The sequence below is a fragment of the Homo sapiens genome, chromosome 14, assembly GCF_000001405.40.
Source record: "Homo sapiens chromosome 14, GRCh38.p14 Primary Assembly".
Taxonomy (NCBI): Eukaryota; Metazoa; Chordata; class Mammalia; order Primates; family Hominidae; genus Homo; species Homo sapiens.
In genome coordinates, this window is record NC_000014.9 from 32,408,079 (window position 1) to 32,426,879 (window position 18,801).

An 18,801-nucleotide genomic window follows, 5' to 3' on the forward strand; every position below is an offset into this window, starting at 1 on the left:
CAAGGGAGGTAGGAAAACTTCTAAGAAGGTAGTTATCATGGCATGAGTAAAAATTTCTGTTTGCCACACCATGGCTAGCAGCGGGGAGTGGGTGGTTGAACAAGAACTCCTCCAAGACTCTGGCTGGCTGGGAGCCAGGATTCTTCAACTGGAAATGAACAGGGAAGGAGGGGAAAAGAACAAAAATCTGCTGAGGGATAATAAAAATTTTAATGATTCTTCAAATGTTGCATTGTCTTGTAAACGTAGTTGTAAATTTAACTTTAAAATGACTTTTACTCAATTGGGTCAGAGACGTAAAAATGATTAAAAGAAAGGAATAGGTCTCAGATTAGCAATAATATTTGTACAAAAAGGTTTTCAGTGTTCAGAGTAATTGACGGACTGGTTTTGGGTGATGGTTTTAATTACTGGGAGCTTATATATAATTATACAATTTATAATATATAATATATAATTTATAAAATTATATAATTTTCAATGAGCAACCACTCTAAACATAAGGATGAGAGCTCAGGTATCAGCTGTGGAGTTTTTCTTAAGAATACAAGTAAATTGAGTGTGACCTGACCTTAGTCTGTTATTGTAACCAGAGTTACTATTCTTTGCTCTAGTCTAGAAATATCTCCAAGTAGGAGATATGTGTAGGGAAGGTAGATGATCTTTGTGCCTTCACTCTAATGGTCTTGGAGTAGGAATGTAGATCATGGTTTGATGGAGGGATATTGGTGATGGGTGGGGCTTTCTTATCCATGGCAAGGAAAATGCTGGTGAAAGGCTTCATGTGTGGCATGATTAGTTGATATAACCCAATAAGATTAGTTTATATAGGCAGGGTGTGGTGGCTCACCCCTATATCGCCTGTAATCCCAGCACTTTGGGAGGCCGATGCAGGTGGATCACCTGAGGTCAGGAGTTTGATACCAGCCTGGCCAACATGGTGAAACCCTGTCTCTACTAAAAATACAAAAATTAGCCAGGCATGGTGGCATACGCTTGTAATCCCAGCCACTCAGGAGGCTGAGGCAGGAGAATCACTTGAACCTGGCAGGTGGAGGTTGCAGTGAGCCAAGATTGCACCACTGCACTCCAGCCTGGGCCACAGAGCAAGACTCCGTCTCAAAAACCAAAACAAAACAAAAAAGATTAGCATATGAACTAATTCATACAAGATGCCCTTCACTTTGAAAATGCCAGCTACCTAGATGACTAGGATGTTTGAAGGGAGTTAGATACAGGCTTAGACATATCTTAGGGACTACAGAACTACACAGATGACAAAGGAGCCCAGAATTCTTGAACTGAAACAGATGAGTTAGAGAGAAAAACAGTTTTTTTCCCCTTTAAAGGCTAGACTAGTGTATAAAAGTTATAAAAGCAGACTTGGGCACCTTTCTAGGTGATTCACAACTGAACCATCTTCTTCAAAAAACAGTAGCCCCTTATCCTTGAACATGTTCCAGGACTCTTGAAGTGGTGATTCCTTCCTTGGGCAGGAGGTTGACAGATGGCTTCTGAGGTTCCTTTCTATCTGAAATTGTGTGGTTCTCATTAAAAAGTTTTTCCTTATATTCAAAATGTATTTCACATAGTAATATGGCCTAATAACAAAGATTTTCTTCCTCTTCTAATTTGAAACTGACAATAAAACTTGTAAACAATGTGAAAGGTAATAAAATTCTACATGTTCCAACTGATGTCAGATGCTCATCTCTTAAAGACCAGAACCTCAGAGGCATTCCAGGAGAGTCCACTTGGTTTACTCACTTCTCTTGATTATGTATGAGGACTAAACTCTGGCCTTTTTTTTCTTATTTTGCCCAAATCCTACCTAAGGAACCTAGGGAGTCATGCCCTGCAAACCATAAAGTCTCATCAGAGGGGTTTTATTTAACCCTGTGTAACGTGGCCTGCTTTCCAACTTGACTCTGGCATAACATCACATAACAAATAAGGAAGGAAATCAAAATGTTTTTACCCCAAATATATTTCCTTGTCATATCTTGAAACTGCCCTGCAAAGTCACCTCTTCTGGGAAAAATCGACATTCTGTAGAGAATCCCCTTCCCCTCCTTTTTTTTTCTTTGCAGATCCAGGAGATAATCAACTAAGAGTCAGGCACCCTTTTAAGTCCAATAAGAAATATTTTATAACCTATTCTCTCTGAAGTCTGCTGTCTGAAGGTTTCCTCTGCACAATAAAACTTGGTCTCCATACCCCTTTATCTTAACCCAAACATTTCCTTTCTGTTGATCCCAGGTCTTTAGATAAACTTAACCCATTGTCAACCAGAAAAAATTTAAATTTACCTATATCCTGGAAGCTCCCCACTTTGAGTTGTCCTGCCTTTCCAAACCAATGTACATCTTAAATGTATTTGTTTGATGTCTCATGTCTCCCCAAAATGTATAAAACCAGGCTGTGCCGTAACCACCTCAGGCACATGTTCTCAGGTCCTCCGGAGGGCTGTGTCACAGGCCATGGTCACTCACGTTTGGCTCAAAATAAATCTCTTCAAATATTTTATAGAGTTTGACTCTTTTCATTGACATGTATAATGAGACTTTTTTTTAAAGATTATTATTAAGATAACAAATGTTCCTTGAGTGAGAAAGAGCAAACTATTTAGATATTTATGGGGTAAAGTAAATCTCGATTTATTGCCCATAGGTAGACCATATTAATAGGTTTTTTGTTTTTGTTTTTTACTTTTTAATTATTTTGGGATACTCTTAACTTTAGATGATGTTGTTAGAAAGATTTTTTAAAAATTTAGATTTCATAAAATAATCTTAGTTGAAAACAGCTAAATCACACTATGCTTTTTAAATTGTTAATTCAAGCATAAATTGTAAGTGCATCTGTGCTCAACCATGCATAACTTGAACTAGTATCCATTAATATCTAAGAAGCTGATTTGAAACTCTGAGTATATGAGAGGGAATTGTCAGCTATGAGCCTCACTATAAAGCAGTGATTTTCAACCAGGAGTGATTTTGCTCCTTATAGGACATTTGGCAATATTTAGAGACATTTCTGTTTGTCATGACTGGAGAGGTCGTGGCATCTAATGAGTAGAGGCCACAGGTACTACTACTAGACATTCTACAATGCACAGGACAGCTCTCCACAACAAAGAATTTTCTGGTCCCAAATGTCGAAAGTGCCAAGATTGAGAAATCCTGCTATATAGGTTGATATGGGCTGTTTATTGATGGAACATCCTTCCACCAATATCTTTAGATATTTCCTTTAGATTTGATGAGATTCCCACCTGCTGATTGCACTCTGGGAATTGAATGGAGGAAGAAGACAGGATTTAAACATTTAATAAGCATATGTTGACCTAATTTCCCAGTTTAGGGTAAGGTGTCCCTGCCTTCAACATTGGTATCCTTTAATCTAGAGACCCTCTATTTTATTCTCTGCATAGAGAGGCAGACTCCCAAGAGAGGGAATCTGGGGTTTTAGCTGGTTCTTAAATTGGCTTCCAGGTGATTATCTTAGGTTTAGGCCCACTTTCACCCTTCTTCCAGGGGAACAAGATGTCATCAGTTTTTGGGCATTTGGGGGCTCTACCTATAAATTTGATTGACTCTCAGTTTCCCCACTGCCAGTTTAGGATTTAGCTTTCTTAGATCTGCTAAATCAATTATTTCTTGCCCATTTATTTTCTGGTTTCCAAAATCCTCTTGTTGTTACCATCTCTCTTACTCTTTTTTTTTTTTTTAATTCTTTAGTGATATTTTTATGGGTTTTGGGAGGGAGCAGAGGCTAATGAGAACATTTGATCTTCTGTCTTTACCAGAAGTAGAAAATTAGTTTTTCTTCTCTAATATGTTTTCCGTAATGATAGCTGCTTCATTTACAAGCTAATACCAGGAAATGGCTTTAAAAAAAACACATTGGTAAGTAGAATGGATTTGTCAGGATCTTGGTTTTTGTGAGGCAGAGTCCAGATTGAATGCTACCTCAAAAGTTCCTTTATTACATAAAACAAGCAAACAAAAAAACATTTTCCAGTAGTTACTTTCAGCTTTTCTGGATTTTCTTTTCTCTTTAACTATTTCACACCCTCTTATTTAGTAGGTAGCATACAATTGTCTACCAGCTGATTTATATAAAGACTTTATTGAATTTTTATTTCTTCACTAATTGAATCATTCATGCATTCAGTGTCTCACTCACTCCTTGACACATTTACATATTCAGTACAAGCATATCACATGCCTGCTATGCAGAAGAGTCTGAGTGAGACACCATGTAGGATGCAAAATTGTGTCACACAATCCTTGCTTTTAAGGAGTTATAATCTTTTTTGTATCTTTTGGAAATAAATTACATGACATGTTTCCATGATAATTGGACATACGTCATAATTTTGGTACATAATATTGACACAATACTTACTACTCTCCCCTTTTGTAGCATTAACTTTGAAGAGCATCTTTTGGCAAGGCTATGTATACAAAAATAATGCAGGCATTATGCATTCTATGAAGGGACTCTATTTTATCAGATGCCATAGCCAAAAGAAATTTACTGTTCACTTTCGTTATGGCTCTGTTGAGTTCTTAGGAAGTGAAGCTACAAGTTCATTGCTGTGTACTTCAAAGGAGCTTCTAATAGTTACACTCTTCAAGTCTCCAGGAAATGATTCCCCTAAAACAAATCAGCATATGCAATGTGCCCATATGCATAGTAGATCAATAACACACACCACGGATGATGTTATCAGCAACCTGCCTTGGTCTAGACCTATATTTCTTAACAAATACAAATGCCTTTGGTTAAAGAAAAAAGATGGTATGGTGGGCTGAGAGTAGGTATAGACATTGCACTTTTTTCTCAATCTTGAAATTGGGGATTTTCACTGTAAACAAGATAATCAATCTCACCATGTGCCATTTTATATACAGTGTCTTCTAGATTTCTACTCTAGAGGCTATCCAGAGGTCCTTAAGAGTGGAGATACTGTTTTAAAAATGCCTTTCTTTTTAACAGTATGTTATCTTTATCACCAAAAGATGTTATGTAAGAATAGCATCAGAAAGGTCAGGGATGGTCTTAGGGACAAAAAGAAAGTATTTATTGAAATTTTTTTTTTTTTTTTTTTTTTTTTAGATGGGGTCTTGCTTTGTTGCCCAGGCTGGAGTTCAGTGGTGGGATCATGATTCACTGCAGCCTTGACCTCTCAAGATCCAAGTGATCCTCCCACCTCAGCCTCCTGAGTAGCTGGGACCACAAGCATGTGCCACCACACCTGGCTATTTTTTAAAATTGTTTGTAGCAATGGGTCTCATTCTGTTGCCCAGGCTGCTCTCAAACTCCTGGGCTCAAGTGATCTCCTGCCTTTGTCTTCCAAAGCGCTGGGGTTATAGGCACGAGCCACTGTGCCTTGCCAAAAACCATTCTTAAATCCTTGTGATATACAGCCATAGAAGGAGGAACCTCACAGTTACTGAATCACAAATTTCTCCCTTGCTTCCTGGGCCAATTCCTCCCCAAAACCTAACTCAAAATAAAGTGCCCTGCCATTGTGATTTCTGCTAAATTCTCCATAGCTCTTAGCATAATGTCTTGAGGACAGAAGGAGCTCTTTGAGCATTTCTTCATTGATTGATGGATGAATCCAAGTTGCAAGAAACATCATTGGATGTCTCTGTCTCTATGGAGCATATCCTCCTTGTCACAGTTTGAAGTTTGCCTTTATTAATTTTATCACAGGCAGGAGGGAGGATGAGCCCAAAGCAGAGACAGACTTAAATTGTCAGGCTTCTGTACAGGATCAAAGGTAAAAGCTATACACTGAGTACAAAAGAGTCCAGTGTCAGAAGGTAGTCAGGAATTTGGCTAGCCAGAATCTAGAATGCCAGAAATAGAATCCCAGCCTGAAACTTAGAGAATGTTGAAAGGGACATAAGCTTATTAAAAACAGAATGGGAGATTGAGTTGAAATTAGATGGTAAATAAAATGAGAAACCAGCACAACCTTCAGTATTTTCTCCTTTACATACTGGTAGCTTGAGGTCGAGTAAGCCTGGCCATGAAGTGGGGACTGCTGAGGTCAAAGGTTTCAGAGACAGTATAAGAAAGGCCTCTTGCTTTTGATTTCATAAGGTCTAGAATCACACTGTATTTGAATACAATGAATACTTGAAGTTTTTTAGAGCAGTGTTCCCCAAAGTGTATACCAGGGAGTGCTGGTTCTGTTAATAAAGAAATGTATGTTTGGAAAAGACTGAATTACAGAAAAATGACAAGTTTCTGAAGACTCCTTGGAACTAATGTGAGCTGCATATCTCTCTTAAGGGCTGTGTAAGCAGGATTTCCTGGATGTATCAACCTCCAAACATTTTCTTAAAGTACTTTGCAGAACCGGTATTACATGACCCATGTTTCAGGAAATGATGCTCTGAATATTATTTATATTTATGTCAGAATTGTGTTAGGATATACTGTTCCCGCTGGTCATCGGAGCTCACCTTATGAAATTTTACAGCTGAATGAATTGGTCTTTTTGTTTGCATTTGAATGGGAAACAGCTGACTTGAAGTAGCTCTACTCGAATGGGTATTTTCATTTTGAACATATATGTATATAATTAACATTTTTTTGTCCTTATGTAGGCAGTGTTTATTAAGATGACACAAAGCATTGAGGAAAAATTTGAAGCCCTTTCACTTTATAGCCAAGTTTAAAAGAGAATGATCAAACCTAAACTTTTGGGCAATTCAGCCTCTATTTAGCTTTGCCCTAGCCACTGAATGACCTTGAATAACTCACCAGGCTAATGCACTCACTGAATTTAGCTTGCCTTTGTTCCAATAACTAAATTTGGATGCCTGTTTCGCTTTAAGCACAAGTAATTACATTATGTATTTTTAACCCACCAATTAGTTTTGCATAGAGCTAATGGATCTGATTATAACCTAAGAAAGAGATTTTGGCTATTTTTCTCCTTAAATATTTCATGGACAGAGACATAACTGGCAATACTGATGGAAAAGAAGTAGAAGACAAGAAGAGTGGGCTAAATCAGCACGATTTACAAATTCTTTGGGAGATATTGCATTACACTGGTACATAAGTCTCTCTTTAAGCCAATGGATGATGTCATCCTACAGTGCTATTGTAAGCAGTCACACGTGTGTCTTAAGGTTTGTATATGTGTGCCTACACCAGTGCCTTAACTGAGCAGATACTCAATCAGTATTTGGGAATTATCTTTGTTATCTTAAGACTTTCATTACTTTTATTTTTAGGTTGTATCCGGAATTGTTTTTTAATTAAAATTAATTCATGTATTAACTTGAGACTTTAAGTTAACTTAGTTTATATGTTTTAGATCTACAGATACTTTTATCTATCCATACTTACATTGCTAACAACATTTCTTTTCTATTTCTCAGTGCTTTTCTCTTCTACTTTTAAAAAATTGTGGTAAAATGCATATAACATAAAATTTATTACCTTAGCCATGTTGAAGTGTACAGTTCAAAGGTATTAACTACATTCATCGTATCGTGCAGCCATCACCACCATTTATCTTCATGGCTTGTTTCATCTTATAAAACTGAAAGTCTATACCATTAAACAATAACTCCCCATTTCATTCTTCCCTTAGCCCCTGGAAACCACAATTTTACTGTCTGTCTCTATGATTTAGACTACTCTAAGTACCTCATATCAGTGGAATCATATAGTATTTATCTTTTTGTGACCATCTTATTTAATTTAGCATAATGTCCTCAAGGTTCATCCATGTTATAGACTATATCAGATTTTCCTTCCTTTTTAAGGCTGAATAATATTCTGTCGTATGTATATACCAGATTTTGCTTATCTGTTTTGCCATTCATCTGTTGATGGATACTTGGGTTGCTTTCATTTTTTTAGCTATTGTGAATAATGCTGCTTATGAAGATGGGGGTACAAATATCTCTTTAAGACCCTGCTTTCAATCAATTTGGGCATATACCCAAAGGGGAATTGCTAGCCCATATGGTAATTGTATTTTTAATTGTTTGAGGAACTGCCATACTGTTTTCTAAAGTAGCTGTACCATTTTACATTCCCACCAACAATGCACAAAGGTTCCAATTTCTCCACATTCTTATCAACACTAATTATTTTCTGTTTGTGTGTTTTTGATAGTACCCATACCAGTCAGTATGAGGCAATACCTTGTAGTTTTGATTTTCATTCTTCCCTAATAAGTGATGTTGAGCATCTTTTTATGTGCTTATTGGGCATTTGTACATCTTCTTTGAAGAAATGTTTATTTGCCCATTTTTGAATTGGGCCTTTTGTTGTTATTGAGTGTTGGGAGTTTTTGATATATTCTTGATATTCATCCCTTATCAGATATATGCAAATATTCTTTCCCATTCTACAGGCTGTCTTTTTATTTTGTTGATATGGTCTTTTGATGCACAAAATTTTAAAACTTTCATAAAGTCCAATTTGTCTATTTATTCTTTTTCCTTTTTTGAGATGGAATCTCTTTTCTGTCGCCCAGGCTGGAGTGCAGTGATGCAATCTTGGCTCACTGCAACCTCTGCCTCCCGGGTTCAAGTGATTCTCCTGCCTCAGCCTCTCGAGTAGCTGAGATTACAGGTGCCCACCACCATGCCTGGCTAATTTTTGTATTTTTAGTAGAGATGGGGTTTCACCATGTTGGCCAGGCTGGACTCCAACTCCTGACCTCAAATGATCTGCCCGCCTCAGTCTCACAAAGTGTATTTTTTCTTGATTACTTCTTTCTGTTTTGTTTTAAGACAGAGTCTTGCTGTCACCCAGGCTGGTGTTCTGGACTGTGGTGTGATCTTGGCTCACTGCAACTTCCGCCTCCTGGGTTCAACCGACTCTCATGCCTCAGCATCTCGAGTAACTGGGATTAAAGGCATGTGCCACTGCAACCAGATAATTTTTTGTATTTTTAGTAGAGGTGGAGTTTGACTGTGTTTGCTAGGCTGGTCTCGAGCTCCTGTTTTCAAATGATCTGCCCGCCTCACCTCCCAAAGTGCTGGGATTACCTTGATTACTTTTTGAATAATAAAAAACGATATTATTTAGTTCAAGTGACTGCTTCACAGTCTGAATCCAAGATGCTATTTTTAAAAGTTCTGTCCTCATAAAGAGAAATATTCTAAATCTTGTAGTAACCTTGCCTGAACACAGAGATCCTGTTATAAGCCTTGTTATATTTAAATATATATAAATCTTGTCATATTTTAACAGGGTTAAATATAAATCTTGTTATGCGATCCCTATGAAACGATAGGCAGATACTTTAAAAAAATATACATATAGACTGAGAATCTCAGTTTAAAAGTACAGAGACTTCTTTGGGTTCAAGATCAGTTTTTCTCCACGTATTTCTCTGTAAAATTCAGTTGAGGAGTAAATACACAAGGAAGCTGCCAGTTCTTTCTTTCCTGGACTTGAAATTTCTGGAGGGTGGAGGGACAAAAAATGTTGACTTGCTTGTTAGCCAGAGCTCAGCAAGGGAGTACTAAACAAAGTGAGAGGCTCAATAAATACCTTTTATTCTGCTTAACTGTAGTGTAAAAACTGTCAGGCCGATATACTCCTCTGCCTTCTTATAAATCTAAGTTTTTCTTTAAAATTTTTATGTTATTTTGCACATTTGACACAGAGAAAAGTCATATTCTTCAGGCTTTTTTTTGTATTTTAAAAAATTAAAAGAATAAATAAAACTCTTACCTTATAGACTCCAGTTTAATTGAATGCAATCCCAACTGCTCTTATTTAAAACTGGTCAGCTGAATGTTAATGAAATATTCTAGATTATTCATTTTCAGGCATGTGAAGTATCATTTCTTGTTTAGGAAACTCAGTCAGAGGACCTCGAGTATCCAAATCAGTGTCTGAATCATACGGAACTATTAACAATGATAAGATTAGGCCAAAGAGCACAATGAATAGAGTTATGACAAGCAGAATTTGTCTGAGATTCATTTGCGTTTGGCTGCAAATGACTAAGTAAGACCAACAGTAGCAATGTCATGAGATGATTGTGAAGCATTAACTGGAAAATTATAAATAGATGATTTCTAGAGGCTATTGAAAAGGACCAGTTGTTTCTGAGTGTCATGTCAATTATGAGAAACTATTGCTAACAAAGAGAAAGAATGAAAAATTAAAAAGCATAGGGGACAATTACCTTCCAAACGTCTGAATCACTCTTGGATGGCAGCCAGCTGCTCAAGTGCTGGGATGTTAAAGTTTTATCCAAGAGGGCAAAGGAGGGCAAAAAGTGAAAGGCTCAGAAATCATGACCCTGCTTAGAAACTGCTGCTTCCTTCCTAACACATCACAGCTAGACTTTGGTTAGTGGTAAGTAATAAAAGCAAATGGCTGATGGGTCTTTGCTTTATCTTAGGCCTTAGCACTCTCATGGCAGAGGGGAGAGAATATGGGTTGACCTATTATAATGTTCAGCATTCCGTCCCTTATATTCCTGTGACTTAGAGACACACCTAAATTTTAAAAAAAATCTTGTTTCTGTCTTTGCTGGATGGAAGAGTTGGCAAAGTATCTGGTAATATTTAATCTATAACTAATTTTCTAGGGTTGATGAAGGACCTACTGGATTCTTTTTAGAGGCATTTCAGTCATTAGCTCTTACTCAGCGGTTCTCATTGTTGCTATTTATTTCATTGAGCAAGATAATAAATAATTATTTAAAAAGAGACAAATTGATTGAAGGTGAATTTGTATTGAGCTGGTTTGTGTCCCATGCTTTTATTATCTACCAGCTTAAACAGAACAAAAATATTTATAAGCTCGTACTGTCTAGTTTCCACTAGAAAATACGCATTTTATGTAACAAATTATTTATCTATGATATGTAACTTAAATTACTTGTTCTAGGGATTATTTTTCAAAATACCAATTCATCTTGAAGCAATTCATACTTTATCAAGCATTCACCTTCAATTTAGGTGGCTAATTAAGCTGAAATGCTTGACTGTAATGAAATTGATGCATTTTAAGCAAAACCATTAGAAAATATTTGAAATAATAGGTTCTACCTTGCTGAAATTGTTTCTTTGAAAAGCCGACATAGTAGAAGACCTTTATTATTCTTTCTGTAATAAAGAATATTCAGAGGGAGGATCTCTGATCACATCAAATCTCTGGATATTAACAGCCCTTGCTATCTCTTGTTAGTATTTTAAAATCTGACATCAGAGTCTTCTAAGGCAAACTCTTTTTACATGTCTGGGAGTCTATAGTGAGTAGGAAATAATAGTGAATAGGAATAATGCTTTTGAAAATCGTGCTCTTTATGAAAGTTCATCACCCATGAAATGTCTTCTGTTTATGAAAGAACAGCAGTGTGAGTAGTTATTTGATGTGTTCTCATGTTGCAGTATGAACAGCAAAAACAAATGTAATATTAGCTGACAGATGTGGCTTAACGTATTATTTGATATCTCAGCCTGATTCAATTGTCTTAAAAAATAAAAGTTATTCACTCCACAATATATCTACTCATGGGGCAGATACTGAAATAACCTTACTTTCAACTTGATCACTTAATCACCTGTGGTTTTCATCCTGAGATCAGGCTTATTTCACAGGAAGCAGTTCTTTCTTGAAGGGATTGAATGAAGCAAATGCAACCTCATTATTGATTTGAGTCACAGTGAGCATTTTGTATTAAAAAAAAATACAATGTTTTAGGAGTGGATAGACACAATTTTGAAATTTTAGCATTTTAAATTTAATATCAACCAAGTTGTACCCCACCCAGTCTTATGACATTCTCTACAAAAACAAAAACAAAAACAAAAACAAAAGAAAAAAAACAAAAAATAATGATTTTCATAGTAAAGTAGATTTTGGAACTAATGCACTCTATCTCCTTATCCTCCATTTGGAAATGCTCAATGTACCTGAGAGTGTTAAAACCCTGTCCTGTAATAAAGAAGTTCTTTCATTTTTTAATCTAGGTATTTTTTAAGCTTTATGTTTGCATACAAATAGTTAAATCATATAATTCTGAGGTTTCTTAACATACACAACAGTCTCCAGCCTCTCTTCTTTTCCATTTCCCATTCTCCAGAGGCAACACTTTTCATCTTTTAGCTGATACTTTTGGTAACTACCTCTATCTTGAAACAATAGGATGGTATGGCTACTCCCTGAGTATTTTTTTTCCTTAGCTTTATCTATTTACCTCTCACTGTAAAAGATGAGAATTTATGTAGCTCATTCCCCTACCCTGTCTCTCTCTTTCTCTCACTTTCTCATAGGTATGCACTTGCACATGCACACAATTCCCATCCCTCCTTTCTTCCTATAAAACTATGTCATGATTTTGGGTTATTGCAGCATTTAGTGTTTAAATTATTAACACTATTTAAGTGCAGTTGGTAGCTATATCACAAAGAGGAATATGATTTTTGTTCTATTTTTCCAACAACTTTTGGTTTCTCTCTGGAATTTATAATTATTATTGTGTGCTTAGTTTTCTATGTGTTTATCTCCAGTTCAACCCCCAATTCTCTACTAGTTGGGTAAATCTCTTCTGAGTATGTTCATTTACATCAGATTTTCTCTCAACATCATCTGTTTGAAGCAGTCTTGACAGGAGCCTTCTGACCTGTTGTAGTCTGGACTGGAAGCCCTTCTTGCCTAGTATACCGCCGCCCTTTTGGGATTTCCCTTCCTCTTCACTCTGGGGAGGTGGGCCTCCTGTTGCTTCATCCTGTGCCTACTTCTTTCTTGCTTTACTCCTTTGTTTTGGCAGAGCATAGCCTCTGGTATCTTTTAAGAAAAGTGTGCAGGAGATTGATTTGTGTGTGTGTGTGTGTGTGTGTGTGTTTGTGTGTCTGAAAATACCTTTATTCTACCCTCTCATTGATTATTAGTCTATATTATTCTTGGTATGAAATTCTAGGTTAGAATTATTTTTCTTTCTTATGTAAAACAAATTGTCTTCTGGCTTTTAATGTTGCTGTTGAGAAATCCAAATCAATCTGATTTATCATCCTTTGTATATGCCTCTACTTCCACCCCAAAGCTTACTTCCCTGCATCTTCTGAGGTTTCAAATAATGTGACTTTGGTGTGTGTCTATTTTTAGTGCACTAGGCAGGTCTTTTAAATTTGGCAACTCATGTCCTTCATTTTCTTGAAAGATTTCATTGACGATTCCTCCTTTCTCTTTCCTCTTGCCTTCAGGAACTCCTTTCCTCTAGAAGTTGGACCTCCTGCAATAGTCACTAATTATCTCTCCTAATTTATATCTATTTACCTTTTTACTTTACATTCTGTGAGATTTCCTCAACTTTATTTTTAGCTATTATATTGTGATTTTCATTTTTGCTATTATACATACTTTTATTTTCCCAGAGTCCTTTTTTTGTTCCGCAAATATTTCTTTTGAAATATAGCATCTTTTTCTTATTTTATGGATATAATATCTTATCTCTGATAATCTTTCTTTTTTACCGAAATCATATTTTCCATGGATGGTGTGTTTCCTCCAGGTTGAGATTTTTGTTGCTTGCTGTGACTCTGTTATACAAATTGGAGCTTTCCCTAAATCTCTGCTAATCCTTGACTGCCCGCTCATATTTAGGAGTAAAAGACTAGAAAGCTGATTGGATGCTCTGAATGTGTAGGTGGGCCTGTTGACTGAATGTCACTGTAGGGTAATCTGGATGTGCCAATTTCAGTATCTTGTCTTCTTGGACTGATCAGATCTCCTAGAGAGGGAACCTCTAGTCTCTCGACTGGAGGGTTAAGGAATTGCTCCCAGTGTATGAGGAGCCAAATCAGGGAAGAGGGCTGGGGATCTCAACATTCAGAATGTCTGCATTAATTGAATCCTCCTGTTTTCAGAATACTCCTCAACTATGCATGGCATCTGCCAGTCCAGAGACCCTGTGATTCATTCTTTCTAGGTAATAAACCTCCAGTCTTCTGTCTGAACTGGGGGTGGAAGCAACTACCCAGCAACACAGAGTAAGGAGAGACCTATAGTTCTAGCTGATTTTTAAACATTTTTAAAAATCAAGATTAATCTTCTTAACATATGATTGTCTCTTTATCTGGAGTTAGGCCAAGCTTGAGGTTAAGGGCACAGACCTCCAAGACTAACAGTTCTGCCCAAGATTTCTGATGCCAGTTGCAAATTTGGGGGTCCCCAGGGCCATCCTCACTTCAGACCAACTGGCTATAAAGTTGAGAGTTCACACAGACTCTCTCAGATTTGATAATACACTAGAACAACTCATAGAACTCAGGAAAGTGCTATTACTTATCATTACAGTTTTATTGTAGCAAAAGGATACAAATAAGAGCCAGCCACAGGAAGGAACATGTAGGGAAGAATCTGGGGCTGGGAGAAATCTTCCAGGCCCTCAGGGATGTATTACCCTTCTGTTGTTGATGTGTGACAATGCACATGGAATACCACCAATTTGGGAAGCTTGTCTAAGCTTCAATGTCCATAGTTTTTATTGGGGCTTCATTACATAGGCATGATTGATTGAATCACCACCCACATGGTTGCCCAAAGCCTCAACCCTTTGACCACATGGTTGGTCCTTCTGTCTGGCCAGCCCTCATTCTGAGTCACCTTATTAGCATACACTTATCAGGTATAGTCTAAGGGGCCCATCATAATTAACTCAGATATTCCTAACACTTGGGAAATGCCAGCTCCTGGGAGCTGGGGCAAAGGCCCAACTTTTCTTTAGATAAAGGTAATTCTTCCCTACACACCCCTCCATCTCTACTTCCAGAGGTACCTGGTTCCATCAATTTCAAAATACTTTAAGGATTCTGAAGTAAAAATCAGGTTGGTTCTTTGTTCTCTGTACTGCTGTCTTAAGATTTAGTTTTTGTGAGTTGGTTAAGTCATTTATCATTTATTCATCTAATTTCTGGCTTCCAAAATACTGTTTTTCTTCCTATTCTTGAGTGGTTATATTTAACAAAAAACTTTTTTCAGTAGTGTTAGTAGGGTTTCTGGAAGGAGAAAAATTAGGTCTGTGTATTCAGTTGGCCATCTTTAATCAGAAATTGCCCAGGCCTCTCCCAATTAATTTTTTGTGTGTTTGTTTTTTGAGATAGGGTCTCACTTTGTCACCCAGGCTGGAATACAGTGGTGAGATCACAGTTCACTGCAGCCTTGACCTCTTGGGATCAGATGATCCTCCCACCTCAGCCTCCCTGGTATCTGGGACTACGGGTACATGCCACCACGCCTGGCTAAGTTTTTGTATTTTTGTGTGTGTGTGTGGAGATGGGGTTTTATTATGTTTTCCAGGCTGGTCTTGAACTCCTGGGCTTAATTGATCCCCCACCTTCATCTCCTGAAGTGCTGGGATTACAGGCATGAGCCACCATGCCTAGCCATAACTTATTTTTATTAACAACTTTTTTGTAGAATACTTATTAACACCTGGTAAATGCTAAATTAGCAAATACTTCTATATTGCTGAATTGTAATACAGGTAACTAATTCAGACTTCAGAATCTTTCAAGATGACCCTTCTCTTAGGGCTGATTTTCTTCCTACTTTACATATTGAGGTCACAACATATAAATAGCTACTTATCGCTTGTTGACTGTGGGGAATGTGGGGCTAAAGAGGGATCTTTTATCTTCAATCTTGCCTATTTTTACAACGTTTTAACTAATATTTATATATTACTCTTTAATTAATTTAGAAATAATTTTAGAACAAGAAAAAAAGTAGAAACATTGCATGAAATGATCCTTAAAATTTTTCCACTTCAAATCTATAATGCTAAGATTGTGAGTAGGGTTAATGGATAACTAAAAATGGAGAATTCTTTTTATATTTAATGGAGTAGGTAGGACAGAGTGCAGAACTCTTTTAATCATTTTGATCCAAAAGTCAAACTTGTATTCATTCTCTTTCTCTATCTTTTCTTTCTGGGCTAGGAAGAGGTTTTTAAGGTTACACTTTGTGTTAATAAAGTCTTTGCTTGGAAAAGTGGATGTTGATCCTCTCATAATGCTGATTTCTTATTTCATTTTCTTGGTAAGTAAGAGTGCATGTATTGACTTTCCTGTACCATTCTAGGATACAACTGTAATTGAATTATTCTTTTTTGACAATCTTTTTAGAATTCTTGCTCCCTGAAAGATTTATTCCAAACTCCATAACATGGCATTCTCATCCCTCTTATAATATGGCAGCAACTTACCTTGTAGCTTAATCTGTTTCTTGGCCCCATCAAGCTTCCTGTTCCCTTCAACACTCAATTATCTGCTGATTCTCCCAGCTTCTTGGTGTTGACGTATCTTTATCCATGCAGTTTCCCCAGCCTAGAATTCCTTCACCTCCCTTCCATCTCTGCTTATTTAAATAAGACCCTTTTTCTCTTTAAAAAAAAATTTGTTTTGTTTATTTTTAACTTTTATTTTAAGTTCAGGGGTACAAGTGCAGGTCTGTTATATAGGAAAATTTGTGTCATTGGGGTTTGTTGTACAGATTATTTCATCACCCATGTATTAAGCCTAGTATCCATTAGTTATTTTTCCTGATACTCTCCCTCCCCCTACTCTCTACCCTCTGAAAGGCCCCAGTGTATATTGTTCATCTCAGTGTGTCCATGTGTCCTCATCATTTAGCTCCCACTTATAAGTGAGAACATGCAGTATTTGGTTTTCTGTTCATGTGTTAATTTGTTAAGGATAATGACCTCCAGCTCCATCCACGTCCCTGCAAAGGACATGATCTTATTCTTTTCTATGGCTGCATAGTACTCCATGGTATATATGTACCTCATTTTCTTTATCCAGTCTATCATTGATGGGCATTTAGGTTGATTCCATGTCTTTGCTATTGTGAATAGTGCTGCAATGAACATATGCATGTATGTGTCTTTATAATAGAATGAATTATATTCTTTTGGGTATAGGATTGCTGGGTCAAATAGTATTTCTGTCATTAGGTCTTTGAGGAATCACCACATTGACTTCCTCTATGGCTGAAGTAATTTACACTCCCACCAACAGTGTATAAGTGTTCCTTTTTCTCCACAACCTCACCAGCATCTGTTATTTTTTTTGACGTTTTAATAATAGCCATTCTGACTGGTGTCAGATGGTGTCTCATTTTGTTTTTGATTTGCATTTCTCTAATGATCAGTGATGTTGAGCTTTTTTTCATATGATTGTTGGCCACATGTATACCTTCTTTTGAAAAGTGTCTGTTCATTGGCTGGATGCGGTGGCTTGTGCCTATAATTCCAGCACTTTGGGAAGTCAAGGTGGGCCAATAGCTAGGAGTTTGAGACCAGCCTGGGCAACATGGTGACACCCTGTCTCTCCAAAAATCACAAAAATTAGACAGGTGTGGTGGTGTGTGCCTGTGGTCATAGCTACTTGAGAGGCTGAGGTGGGAGGATCATGTGAACCCAGGAGGAAGAGGTGCAGTGAGCTGAGATTGTGCCACTGCATCCCAGCCAGGGCAACAGAGGAAAGAAAGAAAGAGAGAAAGAGAAAGGAGGGAAGGAGGGAAGGAAGGAAGGAGAGGAATGAAGGAGAGGAAGGAAGGAAGGAAGGAAGCTGTTCATATCCTTTGCTCATTTTTAATGGGGTTGTTTTTCTCTTGTAAGTTTGTTTAAGTTTCTTATAGATGCTGGATAGTAGACCTTTGTTAGATGCATAGTTTGCAAAAATTTTCTCCCATTCAGTAGGCTGTCCATTTACTCTGTTAATAGTTTCTTTTGCTGTGCAGATGTTGTTCAGTTTAATTGGATCCCATTTGTCAATTTTTGCTATTGTTGCAATTGCTTTTGGTGTCTTCATCATGAAATCTTTGCCCATGCCTATGTCCTGAATAGTATTGCCTAGGTTGTCTCCAGGGTTTTTATAGTTTTAGGTTTTACATTTAAGTCTTTAATTCATCTTGAGTTAATTTTTGAATATGGTGTTAGGAAGGGTCCAGTTTTGATCTTCTGCATATGGCTAGCCAGTTATCCCAGCACCATTTATTAAGTAGGGAATCCCAGACCCATTTTTATAAGCCATCTGAAATGTTACCTTCTCTAGTAAAGGTTCGCACTTATCTTTCCTTTACTCAGGATTAATGACACCCCTGGGGCCTTACTGGGCTTTTGTTTGTTTGTTTTTGCCCTTCATGTATTTGAGCATAGCCTGTTGGTGCAGTAGGTGTGAGTATGTGTTTGGGTTAGGGAGAGAGGGGGAGAGGAGAGACAGAGGTGTGAGAAAGAGATTGTTTCTATAAAGTTATAATTTCCTTGAGGGTGAATATGAAGAGTCACATATACATAGAATACCTTTTATATAGTTGATTTTCAGTAATGTCCGTTGATTTAAATTCTAACCACTAAATGTCAGTTGATTTGAAATGAATCTTGTTTCATTTCCTTTACCTTAATAGCATTGACAAAGGCAACAACTGTACAAATTATATATTAAAGTTTTACAAATCCAGTCTCTGTCATGACAATTTCTTGAACAATAGAAAGGTGACTGCCTAATGCTTAAAGGTGATTTTTAGCAACTTGGGATGAGGGTGAGAAGTATGAATGCTCATTAGTGTTCACTGAGTCCAGGTCCACATATTGATGACCGTGGGTGCCACTGCGGCTGCCTGCCTGAAGCAGTCAAATGAATCTCTCTGTGACAGGAAATGACTGCTGTAGAGGAGGAAAGAAAATACAGGAGGCATGATGACTATCTGAGTCAATCTGGATATCCCTGCCATGGGAAGATCTGAATAATTGGGGAGAGGGGTAGGAGGAAGGTTTGAGGGGAG

The 18,801-nt window shown here is 37.2% G+C and overlaps 1 protein-coding gene across 10 annotated transcripts in view; it reads left to right on the plus strand.

The window, feature by feature from the left end:
• The window catches only part of AKAP6 (A-kinase anchoring protein 6), a 508,387-nt gene that overhangs the window by 78,781 nt on the left and 410,805 nt on the right, over positions 1 to 18,801 (plus strand). For 2 of the 10 annotated variants that reach the window (XM_024449757.2, XM_047431968.1), the window contains exon 1: positions 10,294 to 10,362. The exons of the other annotated variants lie outside the window; for them this stretch is intronic. The gene's annotated coding sequence lies outside the window, so the exon portion shown is untranslated. Of the gene's footprint in view, positions 1 to 10,293; positions 10,363 to 18,801 lie in introns of those variants that run through there. 10 annotated transcript variants of the gene reach the window in all.